Source organism: Homo sapiens, chromosome 14 (assembly GCF_000001405.40).
Source record: "Homo sapiens chromosome 14, GRCh38.p14 Primary Assembly".
NCBI classification, from domain to species: Eukaryota; Metazoa; Chordata; class Mammalia; order Primates; family Hominidae; genus Homo; species Homo sapiens.
The window spans coordinates 87,130,940-87,145,937 of record NC_000014.9 but is presented as its reverse complement, the minus strand read 5'-3'; the positions used below and the strand labels follow the sequence as shown (position 1 = coordinate 87,145,937).

The 14,998-nt window shown below is 36.0% G+C and overlaps 1 annotated feature.

Annotated features, from left to right (window-relative positions):
- Positions 11,581–12,780: an enhancer, noted in NCBI's record as "P300/CBP strongly-dependent group 1 enhancer chr14:87599502-87600701 (GRCh37/hg19 assembly coordinates)". NCBI's record gives its function as "activates an origin of replication core promoter dependent on BRD2, BRD4, P300/CBP, MED14 and CDK7 cofactors, with strong dependence on P300/CBP, by STARR-seq in HCT116 cells {active_cell/tissue: HCT116}" and the evidence as "EXISTENCE:reporter gene assay evidence [ECO:0000049][PMID:35650434]".

The window sequence follows — 14,998 nt, the reverse complement described above, 5'->3', positions numbered from 1 at the left end:
GACAACAAAAGCAAAAGCAAACAAAAAAATTGGACAACAGTAGGAAGCTGTAATGATACAAGCATCTCTGAAAGAGGACTCTGACTGATGGTAGAGTACATTATGACGGAAATGCTAAATCTTTGGTTTAGTGTATCTTCCAGATGTACATTTTCTACAATTCTTTTGTTAAAATATAAAGTTCAATTAGTATTTACTAAATTATATTTTTCTCTTCCTTACCAATCACATCAAAATTGCTATGCCAAGGGCCGGGCGCAGTGGCTCATGCCTGTAATCCCAGCATTTTGAGAGGCCAAGGCAGAAGGATCACTTGAGGTCAGGAATCTGAAACCAGCCTGGCCAACCTGGTGAAACCCTGTCTCTACGAAAAATACAAAAAAAATAGCGAGGCTTGGTGGCACGTGCCTGTAATCCCAGCTACTCGGGAGGCTGAGGCAGGAGAATCGCTTAAACCCAGGAGGCAGAGGTTGCAGTGAGCTGAGATTGTGCTACTGCACTCCAACCTGGGTGACAGAGCGAGATTCGGTCTAAAAAAACAAAAATTGCTATGTCAAGTTTTGTTGATTTTTACCCCCTAAACATTGCTAGATCTCATCTATCTTTGTTCTTGTTGTTTTCACCATTACCACCCTGGTCTAAGCTATTTAACATAGGTTATGGGAATTAATCACTGCTGTTACTTCCTTGCATCATTCATGCAAGGAATCCAATCTACTCTCCAGGTAGGAGGAGATAGAGTGGCTTTATAAAATGTGCTTATGCTTGTATCACTCCTATTAAACTCTGAGAAGGTTTGCCTTTATAGTAGGGTAGTGAAAAATGTGGAAATAACTACCATGGCCATCAGTAAAAGAAAATAAAAACAAAGACTGCTATATACTTTAATATTCTATGGAGGGGGTTTCAACAAATAAAATGTGCTTGTATCAACATGAATATATCGTAAAAAATTGAGTAAAAAAACAAGTTGCTGTTGGAGATGTACAATATAATGTCATTGATATAAATCAAAAGTCACACAATTCAGATGATATATTATATATAAAGAAACATATTACAAAATGTTTCAAAATATTAGGAAAATGGCAAATCTTCTTCCAAAAAGTACTTTTATTTTCTTTAAATGTTTTTAAGTTTGTTAGAAAAATAAAGTAAATGTGGCAAAATGTTAACATTCATTAAATATGAACTGTGGATATACAGATATTATATGGGTTCCTGTTTTTCCTTCATATTTAACCATTAAAAATAAAAACAATACTTTAAGGTGTTATTTTCTCCTATTATGTTTATAGAAATGAATCGGTCTTGGAATACTAAGTAAGGAGGAAAGGTAAGATGAATTCTTGATGGGAATATAAAGTAGAATAGATACTTTGGAGAGCACTATGTTAATATCAAAAAAATTCTTATTTCTATATATTTCTAAGTATATATTACTCCTCACAGTAGTTTTCAAAAGTTTTGGTTTTAGGATCACTTTATACCCCAAAATAATAGATTGCACCGGACACTTTTTAGTTATGTGGGTTTATATGTTGATATTTTCCATATCAATATATGAAGTTTTGAAAATACAATAATATAGAAGCACACAAATTCTATGAGCCATCAAAAGAATGATGTCACGCCATGTCATTAGCCTCTCAAAAACCTAAGAGCATGAAAGTGAAAAGGCCAATACTGCCTTAGAATAATCATGGAAAGATTTCAGTCTTGCAGACCCCCTGAAAAGTCCCCAGCATCCTCTGGTGTCTGTAGATTACACGTTGATATCCAACAACCCTGAAAAACCTTACACATGTGCATTAGGCTACATTTACAGGAAGATTATCAGAACGTTATTTACAAAAGGGGAAACTGGAAAAAATTAAATGTTCATCAATATGAGAATGGGATAAATACATTTTTGTATATTCCAAGTTGTGTTCCTGTACTGAACTTAAAATCCAGCCATTGCAGCTCTACATATCATTATTACATATCATTATCATTGTTTCCCCTGTATACAGTGCATATTCATGGGTGTGTGTGTGTGTGTGTGTGTGTGTGTGTGTGCATGAGGGAAGAAAATATACCCAATTAGGTTCACCAGTTTATGTTTACCAGTTTGGGAGAGAAGAGAGAAGAAACAATTGGAGCAGACACAATAAACAAAGACCAATTTAAATTTACATGTAAAAATATTTTATCTTAACAATTTCAGAAGTGAAGGAAAAACCTGTGAATTTGCTAATAGATGCTATATATTTATTTCTAGTCAAAAGTTTAAGAAAACTGCTCATGATTTTATAGAATTTTGTGGCAAGTCAGGTAAATAAATACTTGCTATATTTATTTATAATGTTAGATCACCATTTTTCAATAGATAGGTCATTATAGTGAAAAATTAATCTGCAGTATTTCCAAAAGTCATTTAAAACTATAGTTCTAATATAATGAACTTGTAACTCCTCATTTTTCTTTTTTTAAAAAAAATCTATATGTGATTTGTGATGCTTTTGGTGGGGATAAATGTAATGGATCGAGCTTACCATGTTATGGAGTTGATATTAAGAACATTTATCTTAAAAGTAGCCTTTTGTCTGTTTACCCAATGAACTGCTAATCTGAGAAAAATCTGATTAGTTCCATCCAGAGTTTGATTCAATTTAGGGGAGCCAACCTTTGCTTCTGAGTAGACAGAACTGCTTCTCTCTTTTTAAACTTATCTTTTTTCAATTATTCTTTATAAGTTCAGGGGCGAATGTAATCATTTTAATGAAACTTAGATCGAACGATCTTAGAATGAATGGCAAGAATGGTCAGAGTCTCCATTGTAGAATAGATTGTTTCCCCTTGTGTGGTATTTATTTCACTGCTTCTCAGTGATTACCTGTCATATGTTTTGCAAAGATGGGTATTAGTGTAACTATGGCAATTTTGCATCAAAACATGTAGTTACTGGGGGGCAAAAGCATGTATAGAATTATCTTGAAATATGAAAAATGAGACTGGAGATAAACCAAACAGATATGAAAGACTTTCTAAAAACTAGTTATTATTTTTTCTCATGAAAACAAACAGCTAGAACCTCACTTCTACATGAAAACCAATCTTTCTATTTGTCAGGAACACTGAGAGATGCTGTAAGCATCTTTTAGACATTATTTTAAGAACTCAGTCCATCTTTGACAGACTAATTGCTTGTTCAGTGAAGAGAAATCCCAATGACAGATAATGATCCCTTTTAGTTAAACAATCCCTCTTCTGGTGATGTCATCTATGCTGGTGTTGGAAGGAGTTTCTGAAAAATGTTTTGCACTTAAAAGGCACTTTCTCTCTGATGGAAACATTAATTTGTCCTGCTAGACCCCATTAAAAAATAGTAAAATAAATACACATTAGAAGACCTTTAAGGAGTGGCTACATTTTTTCCTATACATGCAGTTAGTCAGTTTCAGGACCTTAGTTGCTTTGTTTATATTCCCAACTTAAACCATGCATCATTAGATCAGTGCACCAGTGGCCCATCCGTGCAACTAGAGAGCTGTTTTTCTTCAGTCGTTTGCTTTCTGTCTTGGGATATTTGCTTTCTGAAGGATTATAAAATGAAAAACAAGTTAAGCTTCAAGGCACAGTCAGAAATAATGAGTCAAATAAGAGAACTATGTGGTTCCTGATACTTTCTTGTGTTAAATGTAAACAAAATCCACTTTTTGCTCAGTATAAGGGTGGCTATGGCTTCAGCGATCAATTGGAGTAATGTAGAAACTGATTTGTGATCAGATCTCATGTGGAGTTTGACGGAGGACACATGTTAGAGGTCAGTCATCACATTGAAAGCATCTAGAAAGAGAGCAATTAGGAGGTGAAGAATCCAGAATCCACATCCTATTTGGATCTCTCGAAGGATCTTGGCTAAGTTATTGCAGTGGAATAGAAGCCAAAGCCAAGAGAAGAGAGGCTTTTTTGGCTTCATAGAACTGAGAAATGATCATGTACATGAAGAGATGCCATCTGTGCTGTTTCAAATAGTGGAGTTAGCCCCAGTGGATGAGCATTACACAAAAGTAATTTTTACATCAACATAACAAAGAACTTCCTTTTGGTCTAAAGATATCATTGATGAGGATATGAATTCACTGATCCTTGGTTTATTTATGAAGCTAGAGAAAAATCTTTCAGAAATTTATTTCCAATGAGTGAAAAGTCTTTATGCATTGGAAGATAGAACATTTTACTTTCATTTCTTCGAGTTGCAACATCTGATCTGTCCTCCTCATGCCAGAGCCCAAGTCAGGCATTGTGAAGTGGTCTTCAATGGAATCTCCACAAGTTTCCTTTAAAAAGGGGTTGGTGGGAATTGATGAGTAAAGAGATGTATAGCCTTTCTCAGAGATCCAAACATTGTGACTAACCTAAATTGAATTTTAACCCAAATGTGATATATTTGTTCTTACTGGCTTCTGAAATAAAATTGAGGGTTAAATATGTGATATGGAGTGACACTAATTTCAGGACTTCAGTTACATGATGTATACGTACAAGAGTGAAAACAGGACTGGGATCTTAAAAGAGAATTCTGCAAAAAAATGATGCTTTGTTATGACCCAGATGTTTGTTTTTGAAATTGAATCCCCTATTAAAATTTTCTGGTATGTCTTTTATAGGTGACAGCGGTCAGGACGGGTACCCCTCATACTGGCTTCTTACTTCCACCTCTTGTGGCCCAACCCTGTCCTCCAGAGCCTAGCTTCTCCCTTGATCCTTCCCTTTTCTCCCCAACTTCTACTTTTGGACATTCCCCCTCTCATTCTCAGTGTTTTAAATCTCAGTTACCACCCCAGGTACTTTGCTGCTGATTTGGGTATCTTGTTTAAAAGAAAATCAGCTTGGGGGGAATGTCTCGAAAAACTGAGGCTGAGGGTAGAGGGAGTACGCCCGAGTCTTGGAGTCTTGGTTCCTGTTCACAGTGTTTGTGGGTTATTTCCTTCTCTATCACTCACCTCTTTATATATATATATATATATATATATAGAACAAGAATAAACACAAGTAGACATGTAGAATAATATTGCCAGCCACTATCTCCTTTACTAGTTCATACGCTTAATAATTTACTGAATGAGTATTCACATGTAAGTGCTAAATGTTGTAGGTACAGCAGACATATTTGAATTATTGGCTTATGCAATAAAGGAGACGGGCAAGTCCAAAATCTGCAGGGTGAGCAGGAAGCCTGGAGACTCAGGGAAGAGTTGATGTTGTGATTCAAGTCCAAAGGCCATGATACTGGATACCTGTGGTAGATCAAATGTTTCAGTTCAAATCTGAAGGATGTCAGTCTGAAAGATGCCAGGCTGAAGGCCATAGAAAAGGTGATGTTGCAGTTCAAGTCCAAAAGCCATTGGCTGCAGAATTCCCTCTTGCTCAGAGGAGTTTAGCGTTTTGTTCTATTCAGGCCTTCAACTGATTGAATGAGGCCCACCCACATAATAGATCGTGATCTCATTTATTCAAAGTCTACCCATTTAAATGGTAATCTCGTCCAAAAACATCCTCACAGAAATATCCGGAATAATATCTGACCAAATATACAGGCACCGTGACACATAAAATTGTCATAAATTGACACATAAAATTCACTGTCGTAGGAGGTGGCATTTAAGTTAAGACATGAATGCAAAAGATACAATAGCAAAGAATTTCAGGAAGCAGAAAGAATAGGCACAAAAAGTTTTGTGTTTGTGAAACAGAAAAAAAGCCCTATAAGTAGAGTTTGGTAAGTAAGGAAGGTGATTGAGAAAGTGTAGGAGAATAATGCAGGGGAAATTTATGTAAGGCAGTGGTTTTAAACCTTGGCTGTTAGAATTACCTAGGGAGCTTTAAAAAAATGCCTAGGGATGCAACCAAAGGACCAGTTAATTCTCCATGTAATTCAATGTGCAGCTAAGGTTGAGAAGCACTGATGTAGACTAGATTCTGAGATTTTATTGCAAATGAAAGAAGATGTAGCTGGTAAGGTACATAGGTTTCATGGTTTTTAAGAAATCATTATGAAAGTATTCTGGTTCCAGTAATGGCAAGACTCTTTCTCTGATAACAATCATAAATCTGGACAAAATATTGAAAAACAAATAAATTGAAGGCACAGGGGAGCAAAGTAAAACAGCCAGAAAATGAGAAAATGGAACATGACTCTGAAAAAATGAAAGTGTGTGTGTGTGTGTGTGTGTGTGTGTGTGTGTGTACAGCTTTTACCTTGAGGGAACTTCTCAATGTATGTAGTACAGGTTGGCTAGAACTCAAGCAGAAAGCTGCAGTTTTATTTACTGGAGGCAAAAGAGAATGGAGTTTTGGGTTTCCAGATGATCTGGAAACTTGGGGGAGGGTAATTCTGGATAACAGCCACACAAAGGGAAACTCCAAACCCATATCTCTACCTGATTCACCAACTTGGCTGAGCCTTAAACTGCACATGTGTGGGGGAAACTCTAATAAGCCCTGCAGGAAGCAAGGCTGGAAGAGACTTCAGCGGCTGCCCACAGCACAGGACACTGAATTTGGAGTTGGAATCTACCCTAAGTAGAGGACGTGGATAAACCTCTGAATTCCCTCTAAAACTCCACAAGAATCACAAGTTAACAGCATAGATGAAGGCCCAGAATAAAGTCCCAAGTGAAACTCCAGAATTGTGGAATTTGCCTTCTAACTAATAGTAAAACTAAAACATATCTGAAATAACAAAGCATAAAAAATTCAAATTAATCAACTAGTAATTTGCTTGCTGGTTAGAATAAAAATAGACACATTCCAAAGGAACAACATATCAAGAGTGTCAATATATAACATCCACAACGTCCGGGATACAATAAAAATTGGTAGAACAGTAAAACAAACAAACAAACAAACAAACAAACAAAACCAGGTAAATTCTATCCTGCATCTTAAAAAAAAAAAAAACAAAAAAAAAAAACACAAAAACTCAATAACCAGTCAATGGAAATAGAAACCCAAATAACTAAAAGTTGGAATTCACAGAAAATAATTTTAAAGCAGGTGATGTAAATATGTTCAGGACTTAAAGAAAAAATACTAGAGTGAACTGATGGAGAATCTCAGAAGTGGAAACTATAAAAAAAGAAACAAAAATTTTAAAACTATAAATTACAGTATGTATATTGAAAATTTCACTTTATAGACTTAAAGTGAACTTAAAGCTAGGTCAATAAAAATTCTCTAATCTGAAGAACAGATAAATTGATCATAATCTCAGTAACCTATAGGAAAATATCAACCAGTCTGAATTACATCTAATTGGAATCCCTGAAGAAAAGATAGAGAATGGAATTGAGAAAAAAATTTGTGACAATGGTTTCCAAATTAGGTAAAAATTGTCAATGATCAGATTCAAAAAGATCAGTGGATACATGAAGGCATAATATCACTGATGACTGTATAGATATTAAGACTATAATAAAGAATATTATGAACAAATTTATACCACTTAATTTGGAAACAGCTAAAATGGAAAAAAAAGTCCATTAAAAACCTTCTTAATAAAAATTTCAGGCCCTGTTAGTTTCACAGTTAAATTCTACCAAGAGTTTAAGAAAGAAATAATGCCAATCTTACACAAACTCTTTCAGAAAATAGAGGAAGCTTCGCAAAACATTTTATGAAATCACCATAATCCACTTGAAAAACCCTTACAAAGACGTTATAAGAAAAAAGAAATTATAGACCAACATCTTTGAACACAGACCAACAGATCCTTTAACACTATTAGCAGGGCCAGGCACAGTGACTCACATGTGTGATCCCAGCACTTTGGGAGGCCAAGGCGGGTTGATCACGAGGTCAAGAGATTGAGACCATCCTGGCCAACATGGTGAAACCCTGTCTCTGCTAAAAATACAAAAGTTAGCTGGGCATGGCGACCCATCTGTAATCCCAGCTACTAGGGAGGGTGAGGCAGGAGAATCGCTTGAACCTGGGAGGTGGAGGTTGCAGTGAGCCGAAATCGCCACTGTACTCCAGCCTGGCGACAGAGCAAGACTCCATCACAAAAACAAACAAACAAACAAACAAAATACTATCAGCAAACTGAATTTAGCAATATTCTAAAAGGAGTCATTTAATGTAAGATTATCAGTAATACCAGTTTAGTTTAACATTTGAGAGAATTAATTTTGTTTACTATATAAGTAGGATGAAAGAGAAAAAGACAGTATCAATTGATACATATAAACATTTGGTGAAATTTAATAACATTTGTGGTTTTAAAATAATCTCAGGAAGTAGAACAGAAGGGAACCTTTCAATCTGACAAAGGTCATCATCAAAACTCAAGTTAACCTCATGCCTAATGGTGAAATATGGAACGCTTTCTAAGAGGAAATAGTGGGAACTGGGCTAATGAAACGATATCTGATCTTCCCATATTATTCAACACTGTACTTGTATTCAATATGTACTTCCCATATTATTCAACACTGTGCCTATCCAGGGCAATAATGTCAGAAAAATAAGTAAAAGACAAAGGTACTGGAGAGGAAAGGTAACAGTTATTGCTCTAGGTTAATTATGGTTTACACAGAAAATATTAAAAATATACCAAGTAACTGCTAGAACTCATATAAGAATTTACCAAAGTCACAATGTGCAAGGTTATTATACAAAAATTACATTGTACAAAAAACTGATACAGAGTTTTTTGTGTGTAATAAACTTGCATGCTGTGGCTTTGGTAAATTTTCATGAGTTCTAGCAATAATATCTAGAACTCATGAATATTAGCAAAGTTATCTAGTATCTCTGCATAGTAGCAAAGAATTGTAAAATGAAATTTTAAATATTTCCTTTTCAATTGCATCAAGAAGCATAAAAATCTTAAGAATAATTAAACAAATATTCAAAACCTCTGCAAAGAAAACAGTAAGACACTGAAAAAAAGTAAAATAACTAAGCAAACAAATGGAGACCTAAGTAACTTTTACAAATTAGAAGATGTCCATTCTCAACAAGATCAATGTATAGATTCAGACAATCCCAATCAAAATTCAAGTAGCTTTTTTCTTTCTGTGGGCATTGAAAAACTAATTCTTGATTTTATATGAAAATGCAAAGGTTCAATAACAGACAAAGGAATCTGAAAATAAAGAATAAAATTGACAGACTCCCACTACCTGGTATTAAAACCAGCTATAAAGCTATTATAATCAAGACAGTGTTATGAGGGCATTTGAATAAACAAATCAATGGGGCAGAATAGAGAATGCAGAAATAGTCCTCCTCATTTTTGGTCAATTGATTTTCAATTGAGGCTGCAAGTCAATTCAATGTCAAAAGGAAACTCTTTTCCAAGACTGGGTATTTAGGAGGTTGGGGAAGGTAGTGTGAAAGGGGAGAGGGTAAGGAAACTAAATATCAGTGCAGGGAAATAATCTTCAACCTGTGTCTCACTTCATACACATAAAAATAATACAATCCCAATCATAAACTGAAACATAAAAGCCAGTACTATAAACTTCTAGAAAGAAACAAACATAAAAGATTACCTTCATAACCTTGAGGTTGGAAACAACTTATTGAACTATACAGAAGAAAGCACTAATGCTGAAAAGAAAAAGAAGGAAAATGGAAAATTGAACTTCATCTAAATTAAAAATATCTTCTTATTAAAAGTCACTGTTAATAAAATGAAAAGCCAAGTATCTACTGGGAGAAGATATTTATAATAAATATATCTGAAAGACTTAAATACAGAATATATAAAGAACTAAAAAAAATAATGAAAAGATAAGCAACCTAACAAAAAGAGGCAAAGGATTTGAATGAATACTTCCATTAAGAAAATAAACAAATGGCCAATAAGCACACATCTTTGGACATCTTTTTGTCATCAGGAAATTGCCAATTAAAACAATGAGGTATAACTCTATTTAGCTACTCTAGCTTCTGAATGGGTAAAATTAAAGACAAGCAACATTAAATGTTGGAGAGAATGTAGAACAAGTGAAACTCTGATATGTTATTGGTAAGAGATGAGAATTTTAGAAAACATTTGGCAATTTCTTTTCTTTTTCTTTTTTTTTCTTTTTTTTGAGACGGAGTCTTGCTCTGTCGTCCAGGTTGGAGTGCAGTGGCGCGATCTCGGCTCACAGCAAACTCCGTCTCCCTGGTTCACGCCATTCTCCTGCCTCAGCCTCCCGAGTAGCTGGGACTACAGGCGGCTGCCACGACGCCTGGCTATTTTTTTGTATTTTTAGTAGAGACGGGGTTTCACCATGTTATCCAGGATGGTCTCGATCTCCTGACCTCATGATCCGCCCGCCTTGGCCTCCCAAAGTGCTAGGATTACAGGCGTGAGCCACTGCGCCCGGCCGGCAATTTCTTATAGAGTTAAATCGATTCTTAACATAAGCTCCAGCATTTCCAGCCCCACGTATTTAATCATAAGAAATAAAAACATCTGTCTACACTTAGAATTGTACCCAAATTTTCATTGTACCTTTATTCAAAATAGTACAAAACTGAAAACAACCTGATGGTTTTCAATAGGAGAATGGATAAATTTCTGTTTACTTATATAATGGAATTCTACTTAGTACCAAAAAAAAACAACAACTACCAATTCATGTAAAAACATAGATGAATTTCACAAGTACTAATATGATGTTGGGCAAAGGAAATCTGTCCTTTGATAACAAAGGGTGCATACTGTGCACATGTACTCAGGAAAAAGCTAATGTGTCTTTACTGACAGAAGTAAGAACAGTGGTTGTCTAAGGAGAAGGCTGATGATTGACTAGAAGGAGTTATAAAAGGTGTAATGAAAATATTTTATATCTTGATTAGAATGAGTGTATACATTTACTGGGAATCTTTAAGTTGTGTGCTTGAAATTAGTACATTTTGACTGAATATAAATTTGATCTCAATTTTAATGGTTTATGGGTAGATATAAATGAAAGCTAGAAGAATTAAGAGGCTATTTCAGTAGTCTAGACAGGAGATTATGGTAATTCAGAGTAGGATGTTAGGAATGGAGCTGAGAGTTTACTTCATCAGGGAGGTAGCTTGAAGGTGAAGCTGGCAGGAATTGCTGATGGACTTGGATCCAAGGGGTAAGAGATATAAAGGATTCAGGATGCTTCTATGATTTTGGTAAGGGAACTAGGTGGATGGCATTCCTCTTTTGGAGACTGTGAAGACTAGGAAAGGAACGGTGTTGGAGAGTGAGTACCTATGATGAATCAAGAGCTTGTCTGACCCGTGTTAAGTTTGTAATATCTTTCGCAGCACTAGTACAGCAGAGATACCAAGCAGGCCCATGCATTTTTCAGTCTGGTTTTCAGTGAAGAGTCCAGTGCTGGGTGTATACATTTGGAGTCAATAGCATAGAGATTGTATTTCATAGAAACTTTGAAATACAGAGTCACCAGGTATGTGATGTGTAGTTGTACAGGAATGGGTTTCATGAAAAGAAAAAAGGCGCTTGCTAAATGCTTGAAAAATGTAGTTATAGTGAATGAAGAGTAAAAATGTAGGAAGATTATTTTGTTTTGAATTAGAAAAAGAAATGACACCCAAAGCAAAATAATTAACTGATAAAACACCAAACAAGTTGGATCATATGAAAAGTAAGACTTTGGGCAAATTGTTCAATGACATTGTTTTCTTTTCTTTAAAATGAGGATAATAATCATATGCATAATACGGGATGATTGTGCAGATCAAAGAAAATAAGTAGTACAAAACACTTTTAAGTGTTTATGAGAAATGTAAATGCTGGTCATTATAGATATATTTCTTTTTGTTATTTATTATCACTATGTAAAATCCGATTTCTACCAGACTTTACTTTCATAGCAGTCTTGTTAAAGTATTAGCTGAAAATGATAACCTGGGCTCCTTGAATTTTAATTGAATAATCAGATGAAAAAACTCAGAAAGCATTCACTTTAGATGGAAAAATTTAACATAACCCATGAGAACCTGGTGAGGTGCATTTTCCAAAAGGCAGTCCTTCTGTGTAACTCCACAGACTTGTCAGACTGGCCTGGACTTGCAGACTGAAAGTGACATTCCTGGAGATATTTTAACATCATCTCCCCAAGGACAAACATATTGCATTCTTTTTGAGATGGGTCATAAAGGGATTTCACCTGCCTTTATTCGTAGCTGAAGGTACAAAGGAAGCAGTTCCTAAGTCAGGAGAATCCCATCAACCCCCGCAACCTGTTTATGCCAAGGTGGAAGATGAATGAAACCAGAAAGCAGCCGTGCCTGACCACATTGAGAAAGAATCAGACAGTGCTGCCTCCGCCAGAGTCCTGGGCATGCATCTGTGATCCAGTGTTGAGTCACTTCCCCTAGCCCAGGTGGTACACAGCCCTGGGTTTTTACAGCTGGATCAGATCATGCAGGCATGGGAGTATCATGAGACTCCAGAGTGTCATGGGATGTATCATGAACATAGAAGCCAAAGCAGCTGCTGCAGGCTGGCCAGCCAAACCATATTACACAAAACTGGGGCTCCATGAACCACAGAGTGAAGTGACAGTCTCCTTTAGAGCCTGTGCAGCCCTTTGTGCTTTCCCAAAGCTCTTAGCAGTGATGGACAGCTAGATCTAGTGGAAAAACCCTGGATCAGGCTGGTAGACCTGAATGTGAAGGCTTACTCTATGCTTATTCACCTTTAACATTGTGCAATCTCTTTTCTCCCCTTGTTCTTTTCAGATTTTCATGTGTAAAACTGGTGAAAAATGTTACTGATTTGTTAGAAATAATTTGAAGATCATATGATTCAAGTTACAGAATGTCTAGCCTGCAATTTGATACACATTAGGTATTCAAAATCAGTGAATGCCATTTTGTTTATCCTTGATATGGTCTAAACCAATGCTGCCTAATCAAAATATAAACTACACATACAACAATTATTTTTCACAGCTACATAAAGAAACTAAGAAGAAACAGGTAAAATTAATTTTAATTATGTGTTATATTTGCTACAACAAATCTGTAACATTATCATTTCAGTAAGTAGTTGATATAAAATTATTAAAAATCAAAAACTTTTGATTTTTTATGTCTAAGTTAATTAAAATGAAATAAAAAATCCAATTCCTTAGCCTAACCTGATGCATTTTAAGTGCCCGGTATTCACATGTGTCTCTGGTATTGGACAGTGCCCATCTAAAGGAGTATCAGTTATGAAGAAAAAATGAATACAAGCAGAAAGAATAAAGTTAAGTTGGCTAAGAATTGTCAGTTTCTAAGATAGAGAAAATGAGATGGATTTATAAAAAATGGTGTTGAATCTGGTGCCTTGAGTATAGGGTTATCATTTGTAGAAATAGGAAAGTAATTTTGAGGGACAGGTGGATTGGAGATTAGAATTTCAGTTGTATACATGCGGAGTTTGAGATGGTGTCAAGAGACCTCTGTAGGGGTGTTTGGTTAATAGAATGACATGTCCACAGGAAGCTCAGCCAAGAGGGTTCTTTTCGGTAAAGGTGTGGACATCAAAGAAAAGTATGCATTGGGAATTGAGGAGCTTTGGTTTGCCTGTATACAGGCTATGAAAGAAAAAAAAAAGGCAACCCAAAAAAGACACAAGAAGACAAAAAAGTAGGAGAGAAATCAAGCTAATATAATGTTCCAGACTCCAAGGGTTAAATGACTTTGCAGGTAGCAATGAAATGGTACCTGGAATGTTGCTGCAGAGACAAGGAGGGAAGCAGAGCAGCAGCTCACCAGCAACCCTGGTTGCATCACTGCTGCTCACTGTCTCTGCTATTCCTGTTTTCTCGGCTTCATGTTACACTCCAGCATCATCTTAGTCATCGTCTGTTCTGCTCTGACAGGTGCATTAATCAAAAAGAAGAACAGCCGTGTCACTTTCCTCTTGCCTGTCTTACACATAATTTTGGTGATTTGGTTCTTTCATCTGACTTGTTCATTCACTGAACTTATACTTATTCAGCTCATACTTCCTGTGTGCTCAGCACGGAGGGTTCCGAAATGAACAAGGTCCTTATTTTCTCTCTAAGAGGCTGATTTGCTTTACATGAGAGTGCTCTGGCAAAACTGCCTATTCTTACCTACCCCAAACCAGTCTTTGTAAAGGCAGCAATGTTACTTTCTCTACCTCAGGCAGGGTTCTTTTTCTATTTGGGAAGTTGCCTGGGAGTGTAAGAAGTGTTCCTTGCTTCTCCTGCTTCTCAGAAGTCTCCCGGCTTCTGCATGCCTGGTAATACCCTAGGCCCCCCTCAATTCCCAGCTGTTATTGACTCTCTCTCTCTTTAGGACCCTTGCCAATTATCTCGATTAGTGTTTATCCAATGATAATAGTACTAGATGATTTTAGGTGGTAATAAATCTAGGTGATTTGAGGTGGTACTCTAACATTTTTCTGTTTGATGTCTTTCATTTTCATGCAACTATCTATTTATGGTAACTGACACTGTATTTTAAACTTATGAATGATATTTCTTGAAAAATGTTATTTTAAAATAAATAGGTTTTAAGTTAAAAAACAAACTAATTTTTTAAAGTCAAGTGAAGAATATTTTCAGCACTTTATGATTATGACAAAACCACGTCTATTGTTTGGAAAGCCTTAAATTAGAGGATAATAAAAGAACATGCATCATCAGTATTAATTAGGCTGCATGTCATACACTAAATACTCCAGAAAGACACACAAAAAGGACAGACCTGACTTTAGGCACTTTCTTTTACTGTCTGATGAAACAGCACGAATATCAAAAACCTTAAAGTGTGTGAGATTTTATCTCACTTGCAACAGAACAAGTTAACCACTCACAGTTGCCTGGTTACTATAGAAGACAGTTTACTACTCAAAACCAATAGTGGGCCGGGCGCCGTGGCTCACGCCTGTAATCCCAGCACTTTGGGAGGCCGAGGCGGGCGGATCACAAGGTCAGGAGATCGAGACCATCCACCATGGCTAACTCGGTGAAACCCCGTCTCTACTAAAAAT